The sequence below is a fragment of the Homo sapiens genome, chromosome 1 (assembly GCF_000001405.40).
Source record: "Homo sapiens chromosome 1, GRCh38.p14 Primary Assembly".
NCBI lineage: Eukaryota > Metazoa > Chordata > Mammalia > Primates > Hominidae > Homo > Homo sapiens.
Window position 1 is genome coordinate 100,226,344 of NC_000001.11, and position 25,685 is coordinate 100,252,028.

General features: G+C 39.2%; 1 protein-coding gene across 9 annotated transcripts in view, besides 5 other annotated features; it reads right to left on the reverse strand.

Moving 5' to 3' along the window:
• The window catches only part of DBT (dihydrolipoamide branched chain transacylase E2), a 62,916-nt gene extending 39,425 nt beyond the window's left edge, over positions 1-23,491 (reverse strand). For 5 of the 9 annotated variants that reach the window (NR_174365.1, NR_174364.1, NR_174366.1 and 2 more), the window contains exons 1-4: positions 23,427-23,491; positions 14,418-14,541; positions 9,093-9,168; positions 4,390-4,571 (exon numbers count right to left, since the gene is read on the reverse strand). Coding sequence is in view for 1 of the 9 variants with exons in the window: in NM_001918.5 (NP_001909.4) it covers positions 4,390-4,571; positions 9,093-9,168; positions 14,418-14,541; positions 23,427-23,477 (433 nt within the window). In the remaining 8 variants the exon portion in view is untranslated. Of the gene's footprint in view, positions 1-4,389; positions 4,572-9,092; positions 9,169-14,417; positions 14,542-18,199; positions 18,260-22,555; positions 22,743-23,426 lie in introns of all 9 variants that reach the window. The other 4 variants (XM_017000468.3, NM_001399972.1, NM_001399969.1 and 1 more) reach the window with 4 other exon arrangements.
• Positions 16,917-17,150: a silencer, noted in NCBI's record as "fragment chr1:100708816-100709049 (GRCh37/hg19 assembly coordinates)". NCBI's record gives its function as "represses an EF-1alpha promoter that drives an FKBP-Casp9 reporter gene in an ReSE screen in HepG2 liver carcinoma cells {active_cell/tissue: HepG2}" and the evidence as "EXISTENCE:reporter gene assay evidence [ECO:0000049][PMID:32094911]".
• Positions 22,660-23,219: an enhancer, noted in NCBI's record as "NANOG-H3K27ac-H3K4me1 hESC enhancer chr1:100714559-100715118 (GRCh37/hg19 assembly coordinates)". NCBI's record gives its function as "activates a minimal SCP1, AML or CMV promoter by ChIP-STARR-seq in primed H9 embryonic stem cells {active_cell/tissue: H9 hESC(primed)}" and the evidence as "EXISTENCE:reporter gene assay evidence [ECO:0000049][PMID:30033119]".
• Positions 23,220-23,779: an enhancer, noted in NCBI's record as "NANOG-H3K27ac-H3K4me1 hESC enhancer chr1:100715119-100715678 (GRCh37/hg19 assembly coordinates)". NCBI's record gives its function as "activates a minimal SCP1, AML or CMV promoter by ChIP-STARR-seq in primed H9 embryonic stem cells {active_cell/tissue: H9 hESC(primed)}" and the evidence as "EXISTENCE:reporter gene assay evidence [ECO:0000049][PMID:30033119]".
• Positions 23,381-23,500: an enhancer, noted in NCBI's record as "active region_1377". NCBI's record gives its function as "activates an Ori minimal core promoter by ATAC-STARR-seq in GM12878 lymphoblastoid cells {active_cell/tissue: GM12878}" and the evidence as "EXISTENCE:reporter gene assay evidence [ECO:0000049][PMID:35858748]".
• Positions 23,611-23,710: a silencer, noted in NCBI's record as "silent region_1118". NCBI's record gives its function as "represses an Ori minimal core promoter by ATAC-STARR-seq in GM12878 lymphoblastoid cells {active_cell/tissue: GM12878}" and the evidence as "EXISTENCE:reporter gene assay evidence [ECO:0000049][PMID:35858748]".

The window sequence follows — 25,685 nt, forward strand, 5'->3', positions numbered from 1 at the left end:
CATTAACACAGCTCACTGCAGCCTCTACCTCCTGGGCTCAAGTGATCCTCTCACCTCAGCCTCCTAAGTAGCTGGGACCACAGGTGCACGCCACCACACCTGGCTATTTTTTTTTATTTTTTGTAGAGATGGGGTCTCGTTATGTTGCCCAGGCTAGTCTCAAGCTCCCAGGCTCAAGTGATTCTCCCACCTTAGCCTCCCAAAATGTTAGGATTACTGGCGTGAGCCACTGTGCCTAGCCAATAATGTCTTTCAAAAGAAATTTAGAATCAAAGTAATAGGAAGCACCCCTAACGCCCAGATTATAGCCTCTTATTCATTCTACACTAATACTTAAAGGAACAAGAGCCCCTGAAGAAATGAATGATTCCAGGTATGGGGTGGGAAAAGTATGAGGTGAATCCCAGAACATCTTTTGTGCCAAAAGCAAGGAAGCTTTTAAAAGTTAACAGGACAATGTTAATAGAACACATAGGAGCCAGGTTGAAGGGGTCACCACTACAATGATTTGAGCATTGAGAAGAATAATGATTGTAATTAATTAAACACATGAAATCAGTTGAAATACTGTCATGCATTGCTTAATGATGGGAGTATGTTCTGAGAAATGCATTGCTAGGTGATTTCACAATTATCCAAACTTGAGTGTGCACTTACACAAATCTAGATGGTATAGCCTACTACGCACCTAGGCTATATGAAATAGCCTATTGCTCCTAGGTCACAAACCTGTGGAGCATGTTATTGTCCTGAATATTGTAGGTGACTGTAACACAATGGTAAATATTTGTGTATTTAAACATATATAAACATAAAAGAAGTATAGTAAAGATGTGTTATAATCTTATGGGACCACTGTTGTATATGCAGTCTGTTGTTGACCATAACGTCGTTATGCGACATATGACCATACACTCACACATACACTGAGAATGCTGGAAAAATTACTATCAGCATTTGAAGTGACTACTAAAGGAACTCCTTACTTCGAGAACTGGCAAAGGGAAAGAATTAAGCATTTATTTTCTTTCCAGTAAGAACTGTATTTCATACAGGTAGCATACAGATAGCCCCAATACAGATAGCCCCAACTGATGAGAGGAGAAAGGTCCACTTTACAGAAGAATGCCAGCTAATAATGTTAAAGGAATGACAAAATCCAAAAATCATCATTCCACAACCACTAAAGCAATTATTGATTTAGGAAGGATCTCAAATTATATTAGAACCTACTTATTTAGTGTCAAAGCTAACACTACATACATAATTTTCTGGTTACAAAAGGGGAAAACACAACTCCACAATAGAGGGGTAAGGGTATCATTATCCTAGTTCAGTGTTTAAACTTAGCATCACTATGGCAGTCATCAGATGTTAAGTGTATCCTGATGTGAGGCAACATGAAGTACAAACATGATCTATGATGTATTCCACCCAAAATATTTAACTTGAATTCAGCCTTTATTTTTTAATTTTTAATTTTAATTTTAATTTTTTGTTTGTTTTTTCTTTTGTTTGTTTTTAAGATAGAGTCTCACTCTGTCTCCCAGGCTGGAGTGCAGGGGCGCAATCTTGGCTCACCACAACCTCTGCCTCTGGGGTTCAAGCAATTCTGTCTCAGCCTCCCGAGTAGGTGAGATTACAGGCATGTGCCACCACACCCGGCTAATTTTTGTATTTTTAGTAAACATGGGGTTTCACCATGTTGGCCAGCCAGGCTGGTCTCAAACTCCTGACCTCAAGTGATTCACCCACCCTGGCCTCCCAAAGTGCTGGAATTACAGGTGTGAGCCACTGAGCCCAGCCTGAATTCAGCCTTTAAAACTTACTTCCAGCTTACAGGAAATATAACGACTAGAGGAACAAGTTAAATAACACCACAATGCAACAAGACAAATCCAAAAAGTTTGACATTCTGCAAAACAAAGGCAATCTCTTCAAATGAGTGTCATGAAACAAAAGTAGAGGAGGATAAACTAGACTAAAAGAGACTTAAGAGATATAACAACTAGGTGCAATGTATGGTCCTATATTGGATCCTAGTTAAAAAAAAATCAATTGAAATATCAAGGACATTTTGGGGATAATTCAGGAAATCTAAATATGGTCTGTCGATCATATAAAATGGAAATAGGCCAGGCATGGTGGCTCATGCCTGTAATTCCACCACTTCAGGAGGATGCGGCCAGCAGATCACTTGAGGTCAGGAGTTCAAGACCAGCCTGGCCAATGTGGTGAAATCCCATCTCTATAAAAAAATACAAATATTAGCCAGGCACAGTGGTGCACACCTGTAGTCCCAGCTACTCAGGAGGCTGAGATGGGAGAGTCGCTTGAACCTAGGAAGTGGAGGTTGCAGTGAGCTGAGATCGCACCACTGCACTCCAGCCTGGGTGACAGAGCAAGACTCTGTCTCAAACAAACAAAAAAATAAAATTGAAATGTACTGTCATGAAAACATAGATGAACAAAGCAAACAGATTGGACTACAGCATATACAATATATTATTTTGGTTAAAAAAATACCTACATGTACACATATGACCTAGAAAAATATCTGGAATGATATACACGAATGCATTGAGTGTGATTTGTGAACATTAGGGTTTTTGTTGTTGTTTTGGCTTTCTGTATTTTAGAACTTTCTGCAATGCACCCCTCCTGCTTTTATAATAATAAAAAGTAGTAGGAAGCCTTCAATAAATCACCTTCTAGCTTTTAGAAGCAACATGTCATAGAAAATATTCTGGACAAAGACTCAGGTCATCTAAGTTCTAACTTTGGTCCTGTCACCAACCATTGAGCAAATTGTCCAACCTTTCTTTTTTTTCCTTTTTTTTAAGAGATGGAGTCTTGCTCTGTCACCTAGGCTGAAGTGCAGTGGCACGATCTCGGCTCACTGCAACCTCCACCTCCCGGGTTCAAGCGATTCTCCTGCCTCAGCCTCCCGAGTAGCTGGGACTACAGGCACGCACCACCATGGCTGGCTAATTTTTGTATTTTTAGTAGAGATGGGGTTTCACCATGTTGGCCAGGATGGTCTCGATCTCTTGACCTCGTGATCCACCCACCTCGGCCTCCCAAAGTGCTGAGATTACAGGCGTGAGCCACTGCGCCCAGCCTGTCCAACCTTTCTAGTTGGGTTTAGTTTCTTCATCTGCTAAACTGGAATATTTCACAGAATAATAAGTGTAAAAAGTTTTATAAATTATACCATGTGATTCTGGAAAAAAAAGATTGTAATATTAGTTATTGTTCCACCGACTGTAGAACTAAGTGTCAGCCAGACACTGTAATTCAATTAGACTTCTGAATTACAGTGAGATATCTTTATCTCAGCACTTCCAAGGAGGGAATGCTGGCTTAGGAGTTCTGTCACAGAACCTATTGCTCTTGCAGCCCCTAGTATCAAAACTGATTCCTAGATGACAAAACTTTGGTATACCACAACAGTGCTGTAAGGAACTTGTGAGTTAGCCAGCCAGCTGCCTGCCACCACTGGGACTGCCAACTGTTTTAGTTTTCCTCTGTAACATTCTCATGATGAATTCCCTTTTGACAGGACATCTATCACTTGTAAGTCCCATGGTTGCTGCTGCTTCTAAATGCTGGTATCTTTGCTTTCATTTTAATTTTCCTTCTTTTCTCTTCAACTTCTCTTGAAAAAGTTTATAACCATCTCCAACAAGAGTGCTTTTTTTTTTGTATCAGTGGCAAACAGAGCAATCCATTATATTAGATTTCATCTTTAGATACTCCAATTTTTGTTCTTTGTGGCCAGTATTTATAGTCTGAATCTTTAATTACTGAGAGAGCTTGTTGCCTCTTTGAACACTAACATCTCGAGAAGGCAGGACTTCAGGTAAATGAAGTGTTACTGTACACATTTTTAACATGGCAACTGGCCAAAAGATAATCATGACTCACAGAGAACCTTTTCAATTTTCCTGATTTCGGCTTCTAAAACTCCAACTCAAATCCTGTAAGTTATTAAAAGCCCATCCCCACCCGTTCTTACCCCTCCAAAAGGAATAACGTCACTGACTTATGTGGAACAATGTATAATGCCACCTGAATGTTTGAGTCATTACCCAGAGGAGAAAGGATGGGACATCCTCCATCTTTTTTGCAACATTTCATCTCTTCCTTTTGCTATTGCCTTTTCCCCCCCACCTTTGGTTTTGTCTTATCCTACAATTCAGATTTCTATTTTGTGTTGAACTTGCTACCTTTTTTCACGTTGAAAAGATTACATTTCCTCAAGAGCTAAAAATAAATAGGAATAGAAAAAAAAAAAACAAAAAAACAAAGATCACTTTTAATTGGGACCCAATGACAAAAAGAGACCAATAATCAATTTGGTAAAATAGATTAACAGACTTACAATACCTTTTAAAGCTTCCGTTTCTATGTCTACTAATGGCTTCCCCACATAGGCAATATCGTCTAGATTATAATAGAGTTTTTTAATGACTCCATCATAACGACTAGTGATGGTAACAGAAGCTTTATCACTTTGAACTTCACAGATGCTATCAAACTGAGACACTGTATCTCCTTCTTTTACATACCTAAAAGAAAAAGAAATGAGACACTTTTATGGAAACAGTCATAAGTACAGATCATATTAAGGATGTAAATGCCATGCTGAGTTAGATCAGTATTCATCTAGCCCAGCATTTACTTTCAGATGGTGTACTAAGCAATGTTTCAGAGATGACTATAATGACTTTCAGAGTCTCTTCAATGTATCTGCAAGAAACACTCAAAAAAATTTTAAGCAATTCACAGTCTATAATCCAAAAATTTAATTAAACTCTCAGGTTTTCTGTCTGACCCATTTATCAGAAAAACAAGTTCTAAAAACACATTTTTAAAGTGGTATTTCCTTCTATTGTCTTATATTACCCTTTTCCAAACTTTAAGGGATGCCCAATACTTCCAGAAATAAGTTTAAAAAGTGATGTCCTCAATACATATCCTTTGTAATTTCATGAATTTTAGATGGGAGTTCTCCCAGTCTTTCTTCCTAAAATTATTTTAGCCTGTTCTTATATAAAGTCCTTCTAATCCCATAATCATTTTAGGTATACTTTACAGGCTTTTCTAGATCGTTTTGGCAAACAAAACAGGAGGAATGGGACCAAACCTGAAATAATACATCTAATTTTCATTCTAATGGCATTCTTAATGTCTCTAGTTCTTATTTCTGACTTATTGCCAGCAACAGATAATTGTTGTCATTCTTGCTTCTTGTCCTCCTGTCCTAACCAGTCCTCAGCCTATGATAAAACAGCACCCATGACATAGAAACCAGCTTTAAAAGCACATACTTTCACTTCCAGAATGATGGATTAAAGACATCTGAAAATCTGCTCTTCCATATGAGCAACAAGTACAGTGCCAAAAGTTGTTAAAAATCAATTTTTTCAGAATTTTGGAAATCAAAAAAAGGCTTGCAACAACTGAGAAGGATGTATTCAGGAAAAATGGTTGAGTTTTGTAGTATTTTAACTTGCCCAATTTCCATCCTCCTTTCCCTAGCGCAGCAGGAGCCAAATCAGCAGCCTTGCAGCCACTGTAAGGGGAATACTAGGTTTGGATCACCACAAAAAGCAAAATCCCCGGAGAAACTGGCACTACAGATGGTCTCTGACTTTTATATCTTTTCAACTTTATGATGGTGTAAAAGCAACAACTCTTCTGTTTTAAACTTTCAGTATTCAATAAATTGCATAAGATATTCAACAGTTCTTTATAAAATGGACTTTGTATTAGATGACTTTGCCCAAATGTGGGCTAAGGTAAGCGTTTCGAGCATGTTTAAGGTAGGCTAGGCTAAACTATGATGTTTGATAGACTGGGTATATTAAATGCATTTTCAACTTAAGACACTTTAGTTTTGATGGGTTTATGACTTATCCCCATCATAAGTCAAGGAGCATCTGGGTTGTTGTTGTTGTTGTTGTTGTTGTTGGTAGAGACAGGGTCTTGCTATGTTGCCCAGGCTAGTCTGGAACTCCTGGCCTCAAGCAGTCCTCCCATCTTGGCCTCCCAAAGTGTTGGGATAACAGGCATGAGCCACCACACCTGGCCACATCTGTATTTTGTTTTATTTGTAACTTTTTGTTTGTAACTTTAAAAAAAAATCCTATCTGATTTACAAGACAACCACATTAAGGCAATACTTATAAAACTGTGTTGATGTGCTTTATGATGTTTAAAAATGGAATACTTTCAATGTGGAATGATAATTATTTGTTTTGTTTTGTTTTTTGAGACAGGGTCTTGCTCTGGTTGCCCAGACTGGAGTGCAGTGGTACAATCTCGGCTCACTGCAACCTCTGCATCCTGGGTTCAAGCCATCCTCTCACCTCAGCCTCCCAAGTAGCTGACACTACAGGCCTGTGCCACCATGCCAGGCTAATGGAATGATAATTCTAAAAAAGAAAAACAGGAATACGTATGACAGAAATAGCAAAAGGAAGGAAGAGACAATAGAGCTATATTGGAGCAGAGTCTTTGTATTCTATTAAGTTTCTACTAATCCAAATTATAGTGTTTTAAATTAACATGTTAATTGTAATCCTCAGGGCAACCACAAAGAAAATAACTTTAAAATACACAGTAAAAAGTTTACATACTCCAATAAAAAGGCAAAGATTGGCAGAATAGATTCTAAAAAAATGTTCCAACTATATGCTAAGAAATATAATTTAAATTCAACAACACAAATGGTAAAAAGTAAAAGGATTGAAAAAGATATGTCACACAAGGCCAGGTGTGATGGCTCGCCTGTAATCTCAGGAGTTTGAGACCAGCCTGGGCTACAAAGCAAGACCCTGTCCCTCAAAAAAAGGAAAAAAAAAGAAAGCAAGCAAGCTAGAGTGGCTATACTATCAGACAAAATAGACTTTAAGACAAAAGCACACATAACATCTAAACTTGTTTTAGAAGTTTGTCAAAGGATTTGTGAAATTTAAGTATTTTTTTTCTTTTTCCATACATATGCACCCACAAATTCTAAGAATGAGGTTTTATTTACCCTTACCCAAAACCACACTAACTTCTGTTAAATTATGCTTCCTTACATATTCAAATTTCTATTCCCAGGCTTCATTTTATAGAACACAATTCTGCCCTTTAGCATTTTACCAAGTGCAACGCAATACATATTTTTTCCTTAAGTTATTTATGGATAGTTTGAAATGGTTGTTCCTCAGTGCCGTAAAGAAATAGCAGTTGAACATAAATTTAATTTACTCAGCAAGGCCATTTTTACTTCCTGCAGAAAAAGTACACTCACCAGCAGTTTTGCCACAAGAGTACACGGAACAAAGGAGACAGGGTCATTTATAACCTGACGCATCCAACCTACTGCTGTGTCCAATTTCCATTGGCTGGAATGGGAACTCACATTCTGTATTTGTCCTGATTGGCTAGCAACTTAGCACTTTTTAAAAGAGGCAAAGGTAGAGGAGAACAAAGGAAGGAGGAAGTAACTTGTGGAATGCTGAGAAAGGTAAAAACACCTTCAGATAAGGAAGAGGAACAGCCTACGACCTAATGCTTGCTTGGACCAGTATAAGCCTGCCAGGGCAAATTTTTAGGCTAAATTGTAGGAGCTAAGAACATAAAGTACATTGATTTATCACGGCTAGCAGATATTTAAGAATGTTAGCACAGGTCTTTGAATAAATTTTGCTTCTAAGAGAAGTTACTATTTATTCCTAATTAAATGAGGAAGAAAGTCTTTGAAGAGGAACCTCTACTTTACTTTTTACAATATGAAGTTAGGAAAAAAAACAGAATTCAAGAAAGCTCTTAATATTTCGCAAAGAACTTCTGAAAACTAATCAAATGATTAGTTTCTCATTAAAAGAGCTTTTAGAATTTTATTAGGAATAAAATGATTTCCCCTTCCAAGAGCTGTAAGCCCTATACTAAGCATATGGGTCTAGAGAATAAGAGGTAGAAATTAACAAATGGTTTTTTAAAACAATCAAAAAAAGCTGGGTGCAGTGGCTCATGCCTGTAATCCCAACACTTCGGAAGGCCCAGGTGGGAAGATCACTTGAGGCCAAGAGTTCAAGACCAGTATGGTCAACATAGTAAGATCTCATCTCTACCAAAAAAAAAAAAAAAGTCGAAAATCTTTAAAGATTTTTTACTACTGTCTTGGTCTTGAAAAGAAGGTATTATCAAATGCATTTCTTATACATGACATTATTTTGATCCTTTCAACACTCCAGAGGTTGGCAGAGCAAGTACTATTATCCTCATATGACACATTAAGAGACCAAGTGAGTCACAGGTAGGACAGCTAATAAGTTTCCAGGTCAGACTTTTCTGATTTGAAGTCCATTGCTCTTTCCATAATCCCACAGTGCCACCAGAGACATAACCATAAGGTATGTTTATGTTATTACAGTTCTCTTCTAACTTACAAAGCAATAATAATAAGTACAAGAAAAGAATGTTCAGGTGGTTGAACCAGATTCTTAAAAGGATCTTTAATGGTATAAATCTAAGGTGGGAAGTAATCTATTTACTCATCTTAACTGCCACTTCTAAAAACCTCTAAAACTGAGTTCGGTACCCAGAGGTGTTTCTATTTTTCCAGAAGGTGAAAGAAAAAAATGGGGTAGAGGATGAAAGGCTTTTGTCTGTTTCAGGCCCTTTTTTGGACAATTTTTTAATGTTTCAAAATTTATTTTTTGATTCATGACTTTTGGTAAAATATTTTCATCTCTTCTAAACATACAAGTAAACTGTATCAGGTAATGGTAAGTCAAACATACTTACATTCTTACTAAAGTCATTTTCGTAACAGTGAAGAGAGCTTAGACTACCTGACAGTTTTAAATCACACTAAATAAAGTACCTTGATGTATGACAAAGTCCTTCACCACTATATCATCAACACAAGGTAATTCTACCTTATTGCTTTTAAAAATGCATTATGTGTTTATAAAGACGTTTCTCAATTTAAATGGATTCCCACTATCCATTAAATAAATAAAAATAAAAATAGTTATTTTTACTCAAATTATTTTTAAATTTACTTAAGAGCTTTTTTCAGATTCACTTACCATTCTTTAACAGTTACTTCTCTAATCCCTTCTCCAATGTCTGAGAGCTTGAACTGAACAACCTGTCCACGGAGAGCTTCAAAGACAAATGAGAAATGATCTCATTAAGTATATAACATATTACTAATATATACTTTCACATCTAAAATTAGAGAATGTTCTCAGGCAGAGGCAGAAATTCTTCCATCTTACAGACAGAAAAACAGCATTTTATAATTTTTAAGAGCATAACCATTATTCATAACCATTAGAGATTTAAATAAATTATTTTACAACACAGACTTACTGGCACTGCCACAGAACTTACATTTTCTAACTTCCAAAATGGTCTGTTATAAGGCTATAAAAGGCCCTACTAACAAATTAATTAAATTTTGAAACAATGTAATGAATAGAAAATAGAACAAAGATATACAAAGAGAGACCCAGCTAGATATCCTTGTTTTAAGTTATGAAACTATAATAACATGAACAGATTTCTTTTGAATTTATATAACTATTCTTTCTCATTCTTAATGGCTAAAAATCAGGCAGTTCTATATCTAGCAAACTTGATGGAAACTTGTTTGTCCAAACTTATGTTCTGCCACCTTATCCCTAAGTCGTCTCTTTCCTCTTTCCATTTTCTACCCCTTTTCAAATTTCTACCCATCCCTCCTTTTTTTTTTTGGAGACAGAGTCTCACTATGTTCCCCAGGCTGGAATACAGTAGACATTCACAGGTGCATAAATGCATACTACAGCCTCAAACTCCTGGGCTCAAGCAATCCTCCTCCCTCCATCTCCTGAGGAAGCTGGGACCACCCACCACACCCAGCTTCTATACCCTCTTTGTAATACTTAGATGCCAATGATACTGTATGGTAATTATTCTCAAAAGAGAAAAGTATTTCTGATCATTTGAAAGCACGTATGGACCCTCCCACTTTTCCAGGTTAACAAATGGCTCTGAACCTATTCAGGAATGCTCCTGTATCTTTAGACTGCTGTTAACCATATTTGCTTATAAAACATATAACAAATTAATTAGGGTTGTAAAATTTTCTTAAATATGAGGAGTTAAATTAGTAATAAAAAATACAAAATACATTTTGGTTATGGAGGTATTAGGTACCTCTTACTTCCTCTCTAGCAAGTTGGGTCCTCTCACAGCTTGCTGATTGGAGTATAACCTGGCAACTTTCTGAATGGTTTAGCATTAACAATCAAAAGCATTTAAAAAAATTTTTTTTAAATCAACATTCTTGATTCCATAAGTAATTCCACTTGCTAAAAAATGGTTACTATAGGGTCATAATGAAGAACTGGAAATCAATCTAAGTAACACAAAAACAAGAAAATATACTATGGCACCTCTATACAAAGCAATATGCAAGGAACAGCAAGAGCATGAAAATGTGATGGTTCATGGCAAGGTTAAAGAACAGTTCTCTATAGCCGAAGATGCGGTATGTGGCAAGAAATCAGCCCAGACTTAAAAGACTTTGTGTACCATGCTAAAATATTTGAACTTCATCCTAAAGGTGATCAGGACCCAGTGGTAAATTAACATGGTCATAAATTCTTTGCAGCTGTTCCCATCAGGAGGCCGAGTCTATTTCACCAGTTCTTAAATCTGTGCTGGGCTGTGACTTGCTTTGACAAATAGAATATAACAGAAGTGAAGTGTGAAGGTTCATGAAGCTAGGCCTCAAAAGTCCGCACAGCTTCTCCCTTCTCCCTTTTGGAATGCTGCCCTAAAATCCTCATGCAAGGAAGTTGATCTAGTCTACTGGAGGATGAGACATCAGGAAAAGGAGAAATGAGTTGCCCCATCGGAAACCCAGCATGAATGGTCAGACACATGAGTGAGACCATCTTGGACTTTCCAGCCCATATGATCCTCTAGCTGAATACAGCCATATTAGGGAGCCTGGGCGTAACCAGCAAGGAAATCACCCAGCCAACCTGCAGAATCCTGAGAAATGATCAGTCCTTGTTGCTTTAAGCCACTAAGTTGTGGGATTGTTTGTTACTCAGCAGTAATTAACTGATATGGAATCCTATTTATAATATCAGATCTGCAACTTTAGGTCTACAAGTTTAGAAAAAATTTCTCTGGCAGGAGTGTGGTAGATGGGGTCGGGGAGTGGGTGGCAGAGGCAAAACAAGGCAGGGGAAGCAGGAGGCTACTTCAGGTAAGAAGCAGAAGTATAGAATTTATTAATTTATTATTTTTTTAGAGACAGGGTCTCACTCTGTTGCCCAGGCTGGAGTGCAGTGGCACAATCAGCTCATGATAACTTCAAGTTCCTGGGCTCAAGTGATCCTCCCACCTCAGCTAGGACTAGCAGCTGACTACAAGTCCATACCACCACACCCAAGTAATTAAAAAAAATTTTTTATAGAGGTGAGGTCTCACTTTTCTGTGGCCCAGGCTGGTCTTGAACTCCTGGCCTCAAGCAAGCCTCCTGCCTCAGCTTCCCAAAGTGCTGGGATTACAGGTGTGAGCCACTCTGCCCAGCACAGAAGTATGTGATTTATATATTTATATACTTTTCAAAGCCATTTGAAAAGAAGGCAGATTTAAGAAAAATGTAAGATGTAAAATTAATAGGTTTTGATAATCAGTTTGATGTGAGACTAGAGTCAGGATGACTCCAGGTTTCTAGCTTTCCTTCCTCCCTCCCTCCCTCAAGATGACTCTAGGTTTCCTTCCTTCCTTCCCTCCTTCCTTCTTTCCCTCCTTCCTCCCTCGCTTCCTTCCTTCCCTCCTTCCTTCCTTCCCTCCTTCCTCCCTCGCTTCCTTTCCTCCCTTCCTTCCCTCACTTCCTTTCCTCCCTTCCTTTCCTCCCTTCCTTTCCTTGATTCTTCCCTCCCTCCTGATGGCTCTAGGTTTCTAGCTTCCCTCCCCTCCCCTCCCCATCCCTTCCCTTCCCGTCCTGTCTCATCACGTCCCTTCCAGTCCCGTCCCTTCCTCCTCTTCCTCCTCCTCCTTCTCTTCTTCTTTCTTTTATTTCCCCTCCCCTCCCCTTCCTTCCTTCTCCTTCTCCTCCTCCTTCTTCTCTTTTCTTCTCTTCTCTTCTTTTCTTTTCTTCTTAGACATGGCCTAACTCTGTTGCCCAGGCTGGAGGGCAGTGGCATGATCACAGCTCACTGCAGCCTCAAACTCTGGGGCTCAGGTGATCCTCCTACCTCAGACTCCTGAGTGGCTGGGACTACAGGTGTGGACCACCATGCTCAGCTGACTTTTTAAAATTTTTTGTAGAGGCAGGGTCTCATATCAATGGTTAAGCTAGGCTAGTCTAGCTTAATGACTTACTGAGTTAGGAAATATCAGAAGGAAAAGAGATTTGTAGAAGACTGAGTTTTGGGGACATTGGAATGGAGTTGGTGAGAGATGTGAGCTACAGCTACAGATTCACAAGTCTTCAATGAGGTGAGAGTTGAAGGCATGTGTGTAGATGTAGTACAAGAAGAGAGGGCAAAGGATGGGATCCTATGAAAAACTGAAGTTTAAAAGAGAAGCAGAAGAAGAGAAACCTTAATAAGTATCCAGAGAAAGCAGTATTAGTATATGTAAGCAGTATTAGTATATCTAAGCAGTATTAGAGTATGTAAGTACTTTATATATTCTAATTTATTTAATCCACCCAAGTATAAGGATCTTTGTTTTGTGTACTGATATATCCCAAGCACCTAGAGCAGTGCCTTGGAACACAGGTGATCAATAAATATTAATTGTTGAATGAATGAATTCTCACAAGAATACAATTAGCTAAATACTATGATTACTCCCATTTCCCAGATGGTGAAACTTGCTTAAAGTTACACTGCTAGTAATTTGTAGACCAGGAATCCAAGTAGCCTGGAACTGGTGTATCCAGCAACCCAAAGTTCCTAAGTGTTTACAGACTGGACCAGGAAGTTGAAGTATTTACTTGAATGACCTCTATTTTCTCTGGGAAGTAACAAAAAAAGATCAACTTTAAAAAATGGAAATTTTTGTAAAAGTAGTGAAGGTAAAGTTTACATGTCTTAGGCTATAGTGGAGGATGACATAGAAAAAACATGGAAGATGGCTGGGAACAGTGGCTCACACCTGTAATCCCATCACTTTGAGAGGTGAGACCCTGTCTCAAAAAAAAAAAAGAAAGCAAAAGAAAAGGCATGGAAGGCCGGTGCAGGGCTCATGCCTGTAATCCCAGCCCTTCGGGAGGCAGAGGCAGGAGGATCTCTTGAATCCAGGAGTTTTAGACCAGCCTGGGCACTGTGACAACATCCTGATAAATAAATAAATTAGCCAGGTGTAGTGATGCACACCTGTAGTCCCAGCTACTCAGGAGGTTGAGGCAGGAGGATCATTTGAGCCCATGAGTTTGAGGTTACAGTGAGCTATGATTGTGCCACTGCACTCCAGCCTGAGCAACAGAGCTCAAAAAAAAAAAAAAAAAAAAAAAAAAAAAAAAAAGAGCATGGAAAGGCTGACTTGGGGTCTGCCTGGAATTCCCCCATTTTTCATTCCCAGCACAAACTAAGCTCCCATGTATCTGTCAAAAACTTAATAGTGTAACAAAAGTCTAGGGTTCTTTATCAGGGTTCTAAATAGAACATCAGGAAAAAAAACAGTTCTTGTGCCCTTGCCAAATCTAATACTTAATCCTTCAAGTTCTTTACAGAGGGTAGAAAAAGCTGGGGAAAAAGTAAGTAAATGGTGAAAGTCAGGGAACTTTCTATTTAGTACTAAATCAGGCTGGTTTCATCACACCATGTTCACTTGACAGATTAAGTGCTTCTTTCAACAAACAATACCACAATGTGTATGCCAACACAAAGACACCTCTATTAAGTCAACAATTTACCTTGACTGAGAAAGTCATATCAATGCTGACTATTGCACTTAGATGAGCCAGATGATAAATAGATGGCCCAACACAACCCATTCCCAATATTATAAAGACACAAGTGCTGGGCGAGATAAGTTAATGCCTGTAATCCCAGCTCTTTGAGAAGCTGAGGCAGAAGGATCACTTGAGCCCAGGAGTTCAGGTTATAGTGAGCTGTGATTACACCACTGCACTCCAATCTGGGCAACTGAGTGAGATCCTGTCTCTAAAAAAAAATTTTTTTTAAAAAGGGGTGCCAGTGTTAAGGAAAGTATGTAAAAGAGAGGGATGAGAAAAAAGAAAGTGAGAACTGGAAAAATGTGGGGAGATGGGAAGGGCCCGGCTAGAAATACAGAGTCAACTTTTTTTTGTTTAAAAAGTCTCAATCAACTACTAAAAAATATTACTGAATGAGGTACAAAACATTATTTTATACACGTTATTTTGAAATCATACTTACCAGCAGTTGTTTTCAGGAAGTGATGTGGATGACTATACTTGAATGAAGGATAACCAAAGAAACACACATAATTTGGCTTCAAAACATGAACATTACCACATGTTTGAAAATAGCGAACACAAATCTACAGATGAGAAAACAAAAAGTAAAAGCATTTATAAACAACCATACCGGCTTATCTCTAAGTATAAATTGAATTTCAATTCCATTCTAAAAGTAGAACCATTGTCACAATAGAAATATTATATCCTTAGATTTAGATTTGTTACATTTATGATCCTTACCCAAAATTCCTTCTGAAAGTAAAGACATTTTAACAGTGTATTCTGTATAAATACATCAGCTTATAGGTATGCTTAAGTCATTGGACTTCCTGAACTAAAACTACTAAAGAATTCTAAAGTAATAGTTAGCATCTAAAAACAATGAAAAACTTGTATAGTATGATACCCCAAAGTTTACTTATAGTAACTTATAGATGACTCTTTAGAATTAACTATTTTACATAGTACCTTAGTATAATATTATTTTAAAATCTCTTATAGAAATAAGTAGGCCCAAATGTATTCAACTCTATATATCAAAACCTAAGTGTCTGAAAGGTATTGTGTGTGTGTGTGTGTGTGTGTGTGTGTGTGTGTGTGTGTGTATTTGAGACATGGTCTCACTCTGTTGCCCAGGCTGGAGTGCAGTGGTGCGATCACAGTTCACTGAAGCCTTGACCTTCTAGGCTCAAGGGGTCCTCCTGCCTCAGCCTTCCAAGTATCTGGGACCACAGGCGCATGCTACCCCACCCAATTAATTTTGTTTATTATTTGTAGAGACAAGGTCTCAGTATGTTGCCCAGGCTGGACTTGAAGTCCTGAGCTCAAGCAATCCTCCCACCTCAGCCTCCCAAAGTGCTAGAATTACAGGTGCGAGCCACCATGCCAGGCCATAATATCTTATTTGGAAAGTTAATATTTCAATGCCATTAGGCCAGGCGCGGTGGCTCACGCCTGTAATCCCAGCACTTTGGGAGGCCAAGGTGGGCAGATCACGAGGTAGGGAGTTAAAGAGACCAGCCTGGCCGATATGGTGAAACCCTGTCTCTACTAACAATACAAAAGAATTAGCTGGGCTTGGTGGCATGCGCCTGTAGTCCCAGCTACTTGGGAGGCTGAGGCAGGAGAATCGCTTGAATGCGGGAGGCAGAGGTTGCAGTGAGCCGGGATCGAGCCACTGCACTCCAGCCTGGTGACAGAGCAAGACTCCATCTCAAAAAAAAAAAAATTTCAATGCTATTAATACTTAACTACATCATACTGTAAACATAAACTACAGAATTTATTTACTTATTTAATTTTAAAGCCCTGAGCTTACTTCTCTGCAGAAATTTCTAACCTTCTTAGTATAAGAATACTGATAAGTGAAACTTTTTCATGTATGTAACAGAGTCACTTTTACTTAAAAAAAAAAATCATGTACATTAGTGGTGATTAGCTCTTAACTTTTAAAGGCTATGTTATAATAAACATCATATAGTACAGTCATGTTTTAATACATATTTATAAACTAGAATTTTTGTTTTTTTCTGATAGCAAATATAAAAGTAAAAGTTTGGTTTACTGACAAGAACAATACATTTAAATTCTTATTTTTTTACTTTAAATTTCAAACTATTACTGATTTCTGAAGGCAAAGAAAAACTGAAGATCCCTTTCCTAAAACATAAATAATCTTAAATCATTCATCTTAACTTTAGAGATCACCCTAAATCGACTAGTCTTTATAATATCAACATTTTATTTTTACTAACATTAATATTCAGGAAATATAAAGCCTAACTAAAATAATTAAAATTGATAACTTAAAACCAGAAGACAATAAAAGAATTCTCTTTCCCAAACATTTCCATTTTGTTTGTCCTTGCTTTCTCCTTCAGCTCCCATAATCCTGACTCTTGGTCAACAATAAAATCAAAGGAGTGAATCAACCTCTGTTTCATCAGACATAAAACTTAGGGACAATAAAGGAAAGTTTTGAAGTATATAGATTCACCTTAATTTAAATAAAATTGTTCATATTTGTAAAACATTTGAAAGAAAATTAAACTACTAGAAGGTCTTACCTTCAACAACAACACAACTCGTATTGAACTATTCATGGGTCGGGGCAGCATAAACCACCACGCTTAACATTTATTGAGTGCCTCCCATGTGCTGAGTACTTTCTTTTCAGACAGGCCAGGCATGGTGGCTCTGGCCTGTAATCCCATCACTTTGGGAGGCTGAGGTGAGTGGATTGCTTGAGGTCAAGAGTTTGAGACCAGCCTGGTCAACATGACGAGACCCCCTCTCTACTAAAAATACAAAAATCAGCTGGACATGGTGGCACACGTAGTCCCAGCTACTTGGGAGGCTGAGGCACAAGAATCACTTGAACCTGGGAGGCGGAGGTTGCAATGAGCCAAGATCACACCACTGCACTTCAGCCTAGGTGACAGAGAGACCTTGTCTCCAAAAAAAAAAAAAAAAGAAAGAAAAAAAGAAAAATAGCCTTTTTAGACATCATCTTTTTTTCTTTTTTTTTTGAGATGGAGTTTCACTCTGTCACCCAGGCTGGAGTGCAGTGGCACGATCTCAGCTTACTGCAACCTCCGCCTCCCAGGTTCATGCGATTCTCGTGCCTCAGCCTCCCAAGTAGCTGGGACTACAGGCATGTGCCATCATGTCCAGCTAAACTTTTTTTGTGTGTATTTTAGTAGAGACGGGGTTTCATTATGTTGCCCAGGGTGCTCTCGACCTCCTCAGCTCAGGCAATCCGCCCACCTTGGCCTCTCAAAGTACTAGGATTACAGGCCATGAGCCATGGTGCCCGGCCCAGACATCATCTTTACATTTACAATTTCCCTGTGGAACATACACGTTAGCCCTCTTCAACACACGGGAAACTGATGGGAAAGGTGAAGTAATTTGTCCAAGGTCACACAGCAAATAAGTGGAACAATCGAGCTCTGAAGCTAAATAAATTTGATGTCAAAGACCCTAGAAATAGGAGAAATAATCCCTAATTTCAAAGAGTTTACAACGTATGTGAGAAAATAAACACACATACAAACACACTCAAGCATGGACATGCATGCTCTAACTTTTTGTAATAAGAGGCATAGGCTTCTTTAATATAGTCCATAGGTTTACGAAAAAAAAAAAAAAGAGACATAGGCAGTACGTGATAAAGGAGTTTAAGCAGGCCGGGCACAGTGGTTCATAGCTGTAATCTCATTGCACTCCAGCCTAGGCAACAAGAGCAAAATTCTATCTCAAAAAAAAAAAAAAAAAAAAAGGAGTTTAAGTAGAGGGGTCTGGTGGGCTTTTTTTTCACGTTAGTGTGACCTGGGAAGGCTTCTTGGAGGAAGATTTAAGCTGCACTGTGCATAATAAGCATACATAATAAAAGAGCAGAAGGGCACTTTTAAGGCAGAGGAAACAGCATAAATAAACTACAGCAGAAATTGACTTAGCATATCTGCTGGGACATTGAGCGGCTTGATTTGGCTTGACCAAAGGTATAAAAGAGAGCAATGGAAACAGCTCAAGGAGGAAATGGTTGATGACTATAATGTCAGTATAAGGAGTTTGAACTCATACATTATGGGTTATTGAAGAAAAAGGATTAGGAAATTAGTAGTGGTTTATTGAATAGATTATAACAGATAAAATCTGGAGAGAAAGGGAGAAGTCAAGAAACTATTACATACCAAAATTATCAAAAAAGGATTTTTTTAAAAAAATAACTATTACCGTATTCCTCTCTTATCTCCTTATGTGCAGTGGACACGTTCAAGATCCCCCGGTGGGTGCCTAAAACCATGGACAGTACTGAATCCTACATATTCTACATATACCGTGTTTTTCCTATATATACATACCTATGATAAAGTTTAATTTATAAATCAGACACAGTAAGACAGTAATAATAATAACTGATAATAAAATAGAAAAATTATAATAATATACTGTAATAAAGGTTTTGTGAATGTGGTCTCTCTCTCAAAATATCTTACTGTACTGTGCTCACCTATTTTCAGACTACAGTAGATCATGGCTAACTGAGACCACAGATAAGAAGGGGAGAGTACTGTATAGTATTTGAGACACAAAGCAACAGGCTCCTGACTGAGGTAATTAATAGTAGAAAAAGAAAAAAAGCAACAAAAGTACCATAGGCAGTATATGATTAATATAATAGTAATTGAATGGCTCTGAGGAGAAGGCTAAAAACACTGTGAAGTTGCTGAATAGATGGATTAACAGGCAACAGGAAAGAGGAGAAGAAATAATTTTTCAAGCTAGAATTCTAAATTTTTTTTCTAGAAACAGACTATTAGACTAGTAAATTATATTTTTTAATTTTCTTCAAAGACAGGGTTGGCTGGGTGCAGTGGCTCACACCTGTAATCCCATCTCAAATAATAATAATAATAATAAAATAAAGACAGGGTCTCACTTTTTTGCCCAGGATGGTCTTAAACTCCTGGGCTGAAGCAATCCTCCTGTCTCAGTCTCCCAGAATGCTAGGATTACAGGTGTGAGCCACCACACCCAGCTAGACTAGTAAATTAAGCATAAGGCTTTAAACCTCCAATTTTAAAAAGGCATGCTTATGGAATTATCAGTTTTATATATTTTATATTTGAAGCAATTCTAAATTCATCTATGAACAATACTAAAGACACCTAGTTCTATGGGGACCATCTGTACCAATTTGCCTGAGGTGACACCCAATTCACCTCTAGTGATTCAAGGCAATTATTAATAACACCATTTTCATTCTCAAATACATCCTGGTTGAACAACTATACGTGTAGTCTAAGTCTTAATGCAATTATTTGACTAAAATAGGTCTTTCCTTGATTTTAAAAATAATTCAGCCAGGTGCAGTGACTCATGCCTGTAATCCCAACATTTTGGGAGTCCAAAGCAGAAGGATCACTGGAGCCCAGGAGTTCAAGACCATACTGGGCAATGCATTGAGACTTTGTCTACTAAAAATCAAAATAATTAGTTGGCTGTGGTGGTGAATGCCTGTAGTCCCAGCTACTTGGGAGGCTGAGGAAGGAGGACCACTTGAGCCCAGGAGGTCAAGACTGCAGTGAGCCAAGATCATGCCACCACACTCCAGCCTGGGCAACAGAGCAAGAACTTGTCTCAAAAATAATAATAAATAAAATAAAAAATTAGGCCAGGTGCAGTGGCTCATGCCTGTAATCCCAGCACTTTGGGAGACTGAGGCAGGTGGATCACGAGGTCAAGAGATCAAGACCATCCTGGCCAACACAGCGAAACCCCGTCTCTATTAAAAATACAAAAATTAGCTGGGCATGGTGGCGCGTGCCTGCCCAGTTACTTGGGAGGCTGAGGCAGGAGAATCGCTTGAACCCGGGAGGCGGAGGTTGCAGTGAGCTGAGATTGCACCACTGCACTCCAGCCTGGTGACAGAGTGAGACGCCGTCTCAAAAAAAATAAAAATAAAAAATTAATAATTCAATATCACAACCAGGACAGAAGAACATAAAGGGAAATGAAACTGTTCACCAAAGTAGCGTATTAAGGAAATATTTAATAATAATTCAATAGGCAGCTGTTGAGCACTCCTAAAGTCAGACATTGTACTGGACTTGGAAATGCAAAGCTAAATAAGATGCAATATATAGTTCCTGAATTCAAATTGCTTACACTTTACTACAGGAAGACAGACACAACAGAAAAATTCCAAATGGCATGATTAATCAAGAGTCAAATGCATTATGTCCTAGGGAAATGTAAAACACAACATTATAAGGCTATTTTAATAATTTACTACGGGGGTAAGAACTGTTTTTGCTTACAACTTTTTAGAAGAGTTTACAAACCTGACTTTTTTTTTTACTGAGTCATTTAAAAAATATTTATGCACACCTACAATGTGCCAGGCACTTGGGATTATACAGAGAACAAAACAGATGCAATTTCTTCCCTTATAGAATGCACAGTACAGTGAAAGGTAAAGACAAGTAAACCGGTGATTATAACACGTGCTATAATGAAGGAAATAGAGTGTGTTAAGGGAACCTAGCTGGAGAAAGTTATGTTGAAGTAAGACCTGACGGATGAGTAGGTGTAACCCCGGGGATGAGGTATGTTGCAGATAAGGCCACAGTGGAGTAAGGCAAGAGTCTTTAAAGCAGAGGAAATACATGTGCAAAGGTCTGGAGTTGAGACAGAAAGCACAGTGTGTGTGCAAATAACTCAAGTTGTTCAACAGACTTCTAGTGTAGTTTAGTGTGGAATAAGGGTGGGGAAGTGTCAGAGTTGGGGTTGGGATGGGTAGGTTTTGGTAAGGAATGAGATCTAAGAGACTGGAAAGGTCCAGATCATAAATTGCCTCATAGTCATTTGAATTTTGGACATTTTGCTGAAGGCAGTTTTAAACAAGAAAATGATATTATCAAATGTCTCTTACTTTATAAGATCACTCTGGCTACACTATGGAGAATGGGTTGGAAAAACTACAAGACCACTGGAGGCATATAATCCAGTTAAGAAGGGCCAAGACACCTCCAGTTGAGGGCAGGGTGGAAAAATCATGACTAGATTTCTTCAGAGAGAATTACAGGCTCAAATCAAGAGAAACTGGGCCAGGGGCAGTGGCTTACGCCTGTAATCCCAGCACTTTGGGAGGCCAAGGCAGGAGGATCACCTGAGGTCAGGAATTCAAGACCAGCCTGGCCAACATGGCAAAACCCCGTCTCTACTAAAAATACAAAAATTAGCCAGGCATGGTGGTTCGCGCCTGTAGTGCCAGCTACTTGGGAGGCTGAGGCAGGAAAATCACTTGAACCCAGGAGGTGGAGGTTGCAGTAAGCCGAGATTGCACCACTGCACTCCAGCCTGGGCAACAGATCAAGACTCTTCTCAAAAAAAAAAAAAAAAAAAATTAAGAGAAACTGGTTTGAGGGTTCAGTTCTAGAGGCTGGAGAGTCTGACCTGCTTTGAAGCTTTACGGCAGACACTGTGAGAAGACTAAAGACAAGCTTTTCTGCTGGGCATGGTGGCTCATCCTGTAATCCCAGCACTTTGGGAGGCCAAGGCAGGCGGATCACTTGAGGTCAGGAGTTTGAGACCAGCCTGGCCATCATGGTGAAACCTCGTCTCTACTAAAAATACAAAAATTAGCTGGGCATGGTGGCGTGTGCCTGTAGTCCCAGATATTTGGGAGGCTGAGGCAAAAGAATCGCTTGAAACTGGGAGGCAGGGGTTGCAGTGAGCCAAGATCGCACCACTGTACTCCAGCCTGGGTGACAGAGAGAGACTCCATTTCAAAAAAAAAAAAAAAAAAGACAAGTTTTTCTAAGCTCCCTTGTGCTAGCCGGGGCCATGTAACACAGTTCTGGCCAGTGAGACTGGAACCTCCTCCTCTTCCACCTTCCTGCCTTCAACATAAAAGAAGAAGTCGTAGCAGCCCTCTTGTATACAGTAGGAAAAGGACAAATGAACTACTAGGGAAATGACGACATTGATAATCATAAGCCACTTAATGTGAGCTGACATCTAATTGGGGATGCTCTGTATGCATGGATACTTAATTTCCTATTTATTGGTTGGGTTTTTAATTGCAGCTGGAAAACATCACGTACATATGAAACTGGAGATTTCCAGGACAGTAGGATATATGGGTTTGGAGTAGACCTGGTTGGAAGACTGGGGAACTTTAGGACTCATCAGCATAGATGGTAACTAAAGCCAAAGAGTGGATGGGATAACCCAGAAAGTGGGAAAAGTGCAGAGGGCCAAAGTCAGAGCCCTTTAGAAAAAGCAATATTTAAAAGGCGGGAAGGGAAACAGGATATTGGGATGAAGTGGCCAAAGATGAAGAAAGAATAATATTGGGAAACTGGTGTCACAGAAAACAAGAATGGAAAGCTCTAGAAAGAAGAGAGACCAATATGTGTTAAGTGTTGCTGAGAAGAGCTCTCTTCTCCTGGTTATCTCTTACTTATCCTTCTTACATCTCAAGTCATACAGTATCCTCTGGGAACTCCTCTGACCCCCAAGTCCACCATAGGTGTCCACTCCTGTGTGTTCCTGTAGTTCTAGGCACTTGTCCCATCACAGTACCTCTCATGCTGGGTTGTAATTTCTATCTGTCTCCCTCTCCTTTGTCCTCCACCACAAGGTTGTAATCTCTTGAGAAGGAAGATATGATGTCTATTTCATATTTGTATCTCCAGTGCCTAACACAGCACTGGTACATAGCAGGCTCTTGAAAGTTTTTGTAAGATCGGGGTCACCAAGGCAGGAGCATCTAGGGAAAGGGAGAAGAGGCAGGAAGAAGAAACACTAAGCAAATAGGGGTAACAAGTATCATTACCGGTATGTGTCAGTGCTTGGTGCTAAGACTGGGAGAAAGAGAAGGAAGTGCAGGGGAGATGGTGATGGGTCACAGCCTTGGTGACAAAAGGGTAGGAATGATATGTGGTGCGGACATAGAAGTACAAGGCAAAAGAGTGACGCCGAGCTGCTCAGTTCTTCGGAAGCAGGGACCCCTGCTGATATTCTATAACTTGAACGGCCTCTTCCTCTACACACTGTAGATTCCTTGAGGGTAGGGGTCGTGTTACCAGTGTTTGGCATACTGTGGGTACGCAATAAATGCTAAACGAATATATCTCTGGATCCACAGCGCCTATCACAATGCCTGGGCACCTGGAAGGCGCTCAATAAAACGCTAGCTGGGCCTCGGGGTACAGATGGAGCAGGACGGCTGAGTCGCTGCAGAAGCGCTTCCAGGTAAGGGGAGGGAGTGGGTTTCCACTCCAGACTGGTCGACTCGCTCCGTTCTCTGCCCTTTATTTTGCATGCATCCCTTCACCTCTCCATCACGCGTGCCCTGGACGCCTGGCACCGGAGGAGAAAGTAAAACACCACTCCTGGATGACTCCGGACAAATCACTCCTTCCCGGCCTCAGATCTGCCCAAACGTGCTTACCAGCTTCCCCGCATTCCTGCTCCAGGTTCTCAGCATACGGACTGCAGCCATCTTACCCCGGAAATGACAACAGTGCCGCAAACTGGAGAGACTCTCCTCGGCGCGGCCTATCAGGAGATGGGAAACGCGCCTCCCCCTGGGCGACCAATAGGGAGGGAAGAAACGAGCCTCCCACCCAACAGCCAACCAAGGAGTAGGGCGGAGCCTGAGCTAAACCCTAGGATCTGGGACCCAGCGGGGAGTGAAAAGAGCCTGGGGGACGGAGGCGGGGCAGAGGGCAGCCCAAATTTAACACTGCTGTGTAAATACAGATGCACCAAAGATAATCTTTTTAGTGTATGTGATGGGGAAAATAGAGAGTGTTAAGGAAACACAAAGAAAGGTACTTACCTCAAGAAAGTTATGTTGCAGTAGGACCTGAGCGATGAGTTGGAAAACATTTCCCCGTCTTCATCTTGTAGTGTAGCCGCCCCAAATACAGAAAATAGAATATTTCTATACGTTGTAGCAAGGCTCTGGACAACTAGTTGTTTCACAAGTCCATACAGCAGTACTTCCCAATGACTGCCTTTTTTACTCCCATTTATGTTTTTGATTACCAAAATTGGCTAATCAATTTTTTTCATGAAAGATGAACATTACCTAATGTCTAAAATAAACATGTTATCATCTTTCTTTTTACAGACTGCTATCAGATGCAGCTAACTAGCATATGCAATACATGTCACAGACACATGATCTTGATTTAGTTGTCTCTTAAAGAAATGTCAAATTCAGGTCAAGTGGAACTGGTAAAGAACAGATCAGAGCTTTCTTTTAAAAGGCAATCTTCCTCAGAGCAACTAGGAAACCAATTCCTGGAAATGTCCAGGATGACATTAGTCTGTTATTGCTTCTTACGTGGGAATGAAAATCTGCACAGATGTCTAAGGAATTACAGAGAAAAAAAACTGGAACAAATACATTTTAAATGCTCAACATTGAAGATTAGTGGTTATGAAACAAAATCTCAGGTATTTCACAACTTCATTGTTTAATATGACCCAAACACTTTTCCCCCTCATTTGCCATTTTATGTATTACACATCTACACACAAAAAATCAATGCAAACAATAAATCTTATTATCTTTTTTGTTTGTTTGTTTGTTTGGTAGAGATAGGGTCTCTTGGGCCAGGCGTGGTGGCTCCTGCCCATAATTCCAGCACTTTGGGAGGCTGAGGCAGGCAAATGGCTTGAGCTCAGAAGTTCAAGATGGGATCTCTCTATGTTGCCCAGGCTGGTCTCAAAGTCCTGGTCTCAAACTGCGATCTTCCCATTTCAGCCTCCCAAAGTCCTAGGATTACAGGCATGAGCCACTGGGTCCGGCCTAAATAGCTATCTTTCTCAGAAAATCTAGAGTAGTCAAAAGAATTTCAAGTTTTTACATTTCCTTAAAAATGTTTATAGACATTATTAATATATTTGATAATCCCACAAGCATGTGTTTGTATAAAAAGCAGTGGCAGTTGTACCTTTGAAGTGAATCATCTCCCTTCCAAGCTGCTGCTATACAACTTTCTTTGTCCTAATTTCGTTTTTAACTGTACCTGCTCCTCAGAAGATAACTAGTTTATTTTCCTTTACCGTCTTCTTATGTCAATGGATTCTTGCTTCTATATTCAGTATAATATGTGTCCTTATCTTTCATTCCAGCATCTGGAAAGAAATACACCATCTATTCCCTAGTTAATTCTTTTATTCGAGTTTGAAAGAAACAAAGACCCCATTTCTTCTCTTTTTTTAGATTTAAAAATGGCCAGTTATGACCCACCAATTCCACTCCTGGATAGCTACATAAGAGAAATGACAACAGTGTTCACACAAAGACTTGAATAGGAATAATCATAACAGCATAACAGCCAAAATCTAGAAACAGCCCAGATGTCCATTAACAGGTGAATAAACAAAATGTGGTACATCCATATTCTGAAATATTATTCATCCTTAAAAATGACTGAATTAGCGATAATTGCTATGACATGGATGAATGTCAAAAAAATATTATGCTAAGTAAAAGAATACAAGCACAAAAGATCACATATTACATTATTCCATTTAAATTAAATGTCCAGAAAATGTTGATTTATAGAGATGAAAAACAGATTAGTTTTAGTTATATTAGTTATATAATAAGATTATATTAGTATTATTAATTAATAAGGTTAGCATTAGAAAACAAATTCGCCTGGGGCTAGAGGTGGAAGGGGCAGTGATTGCA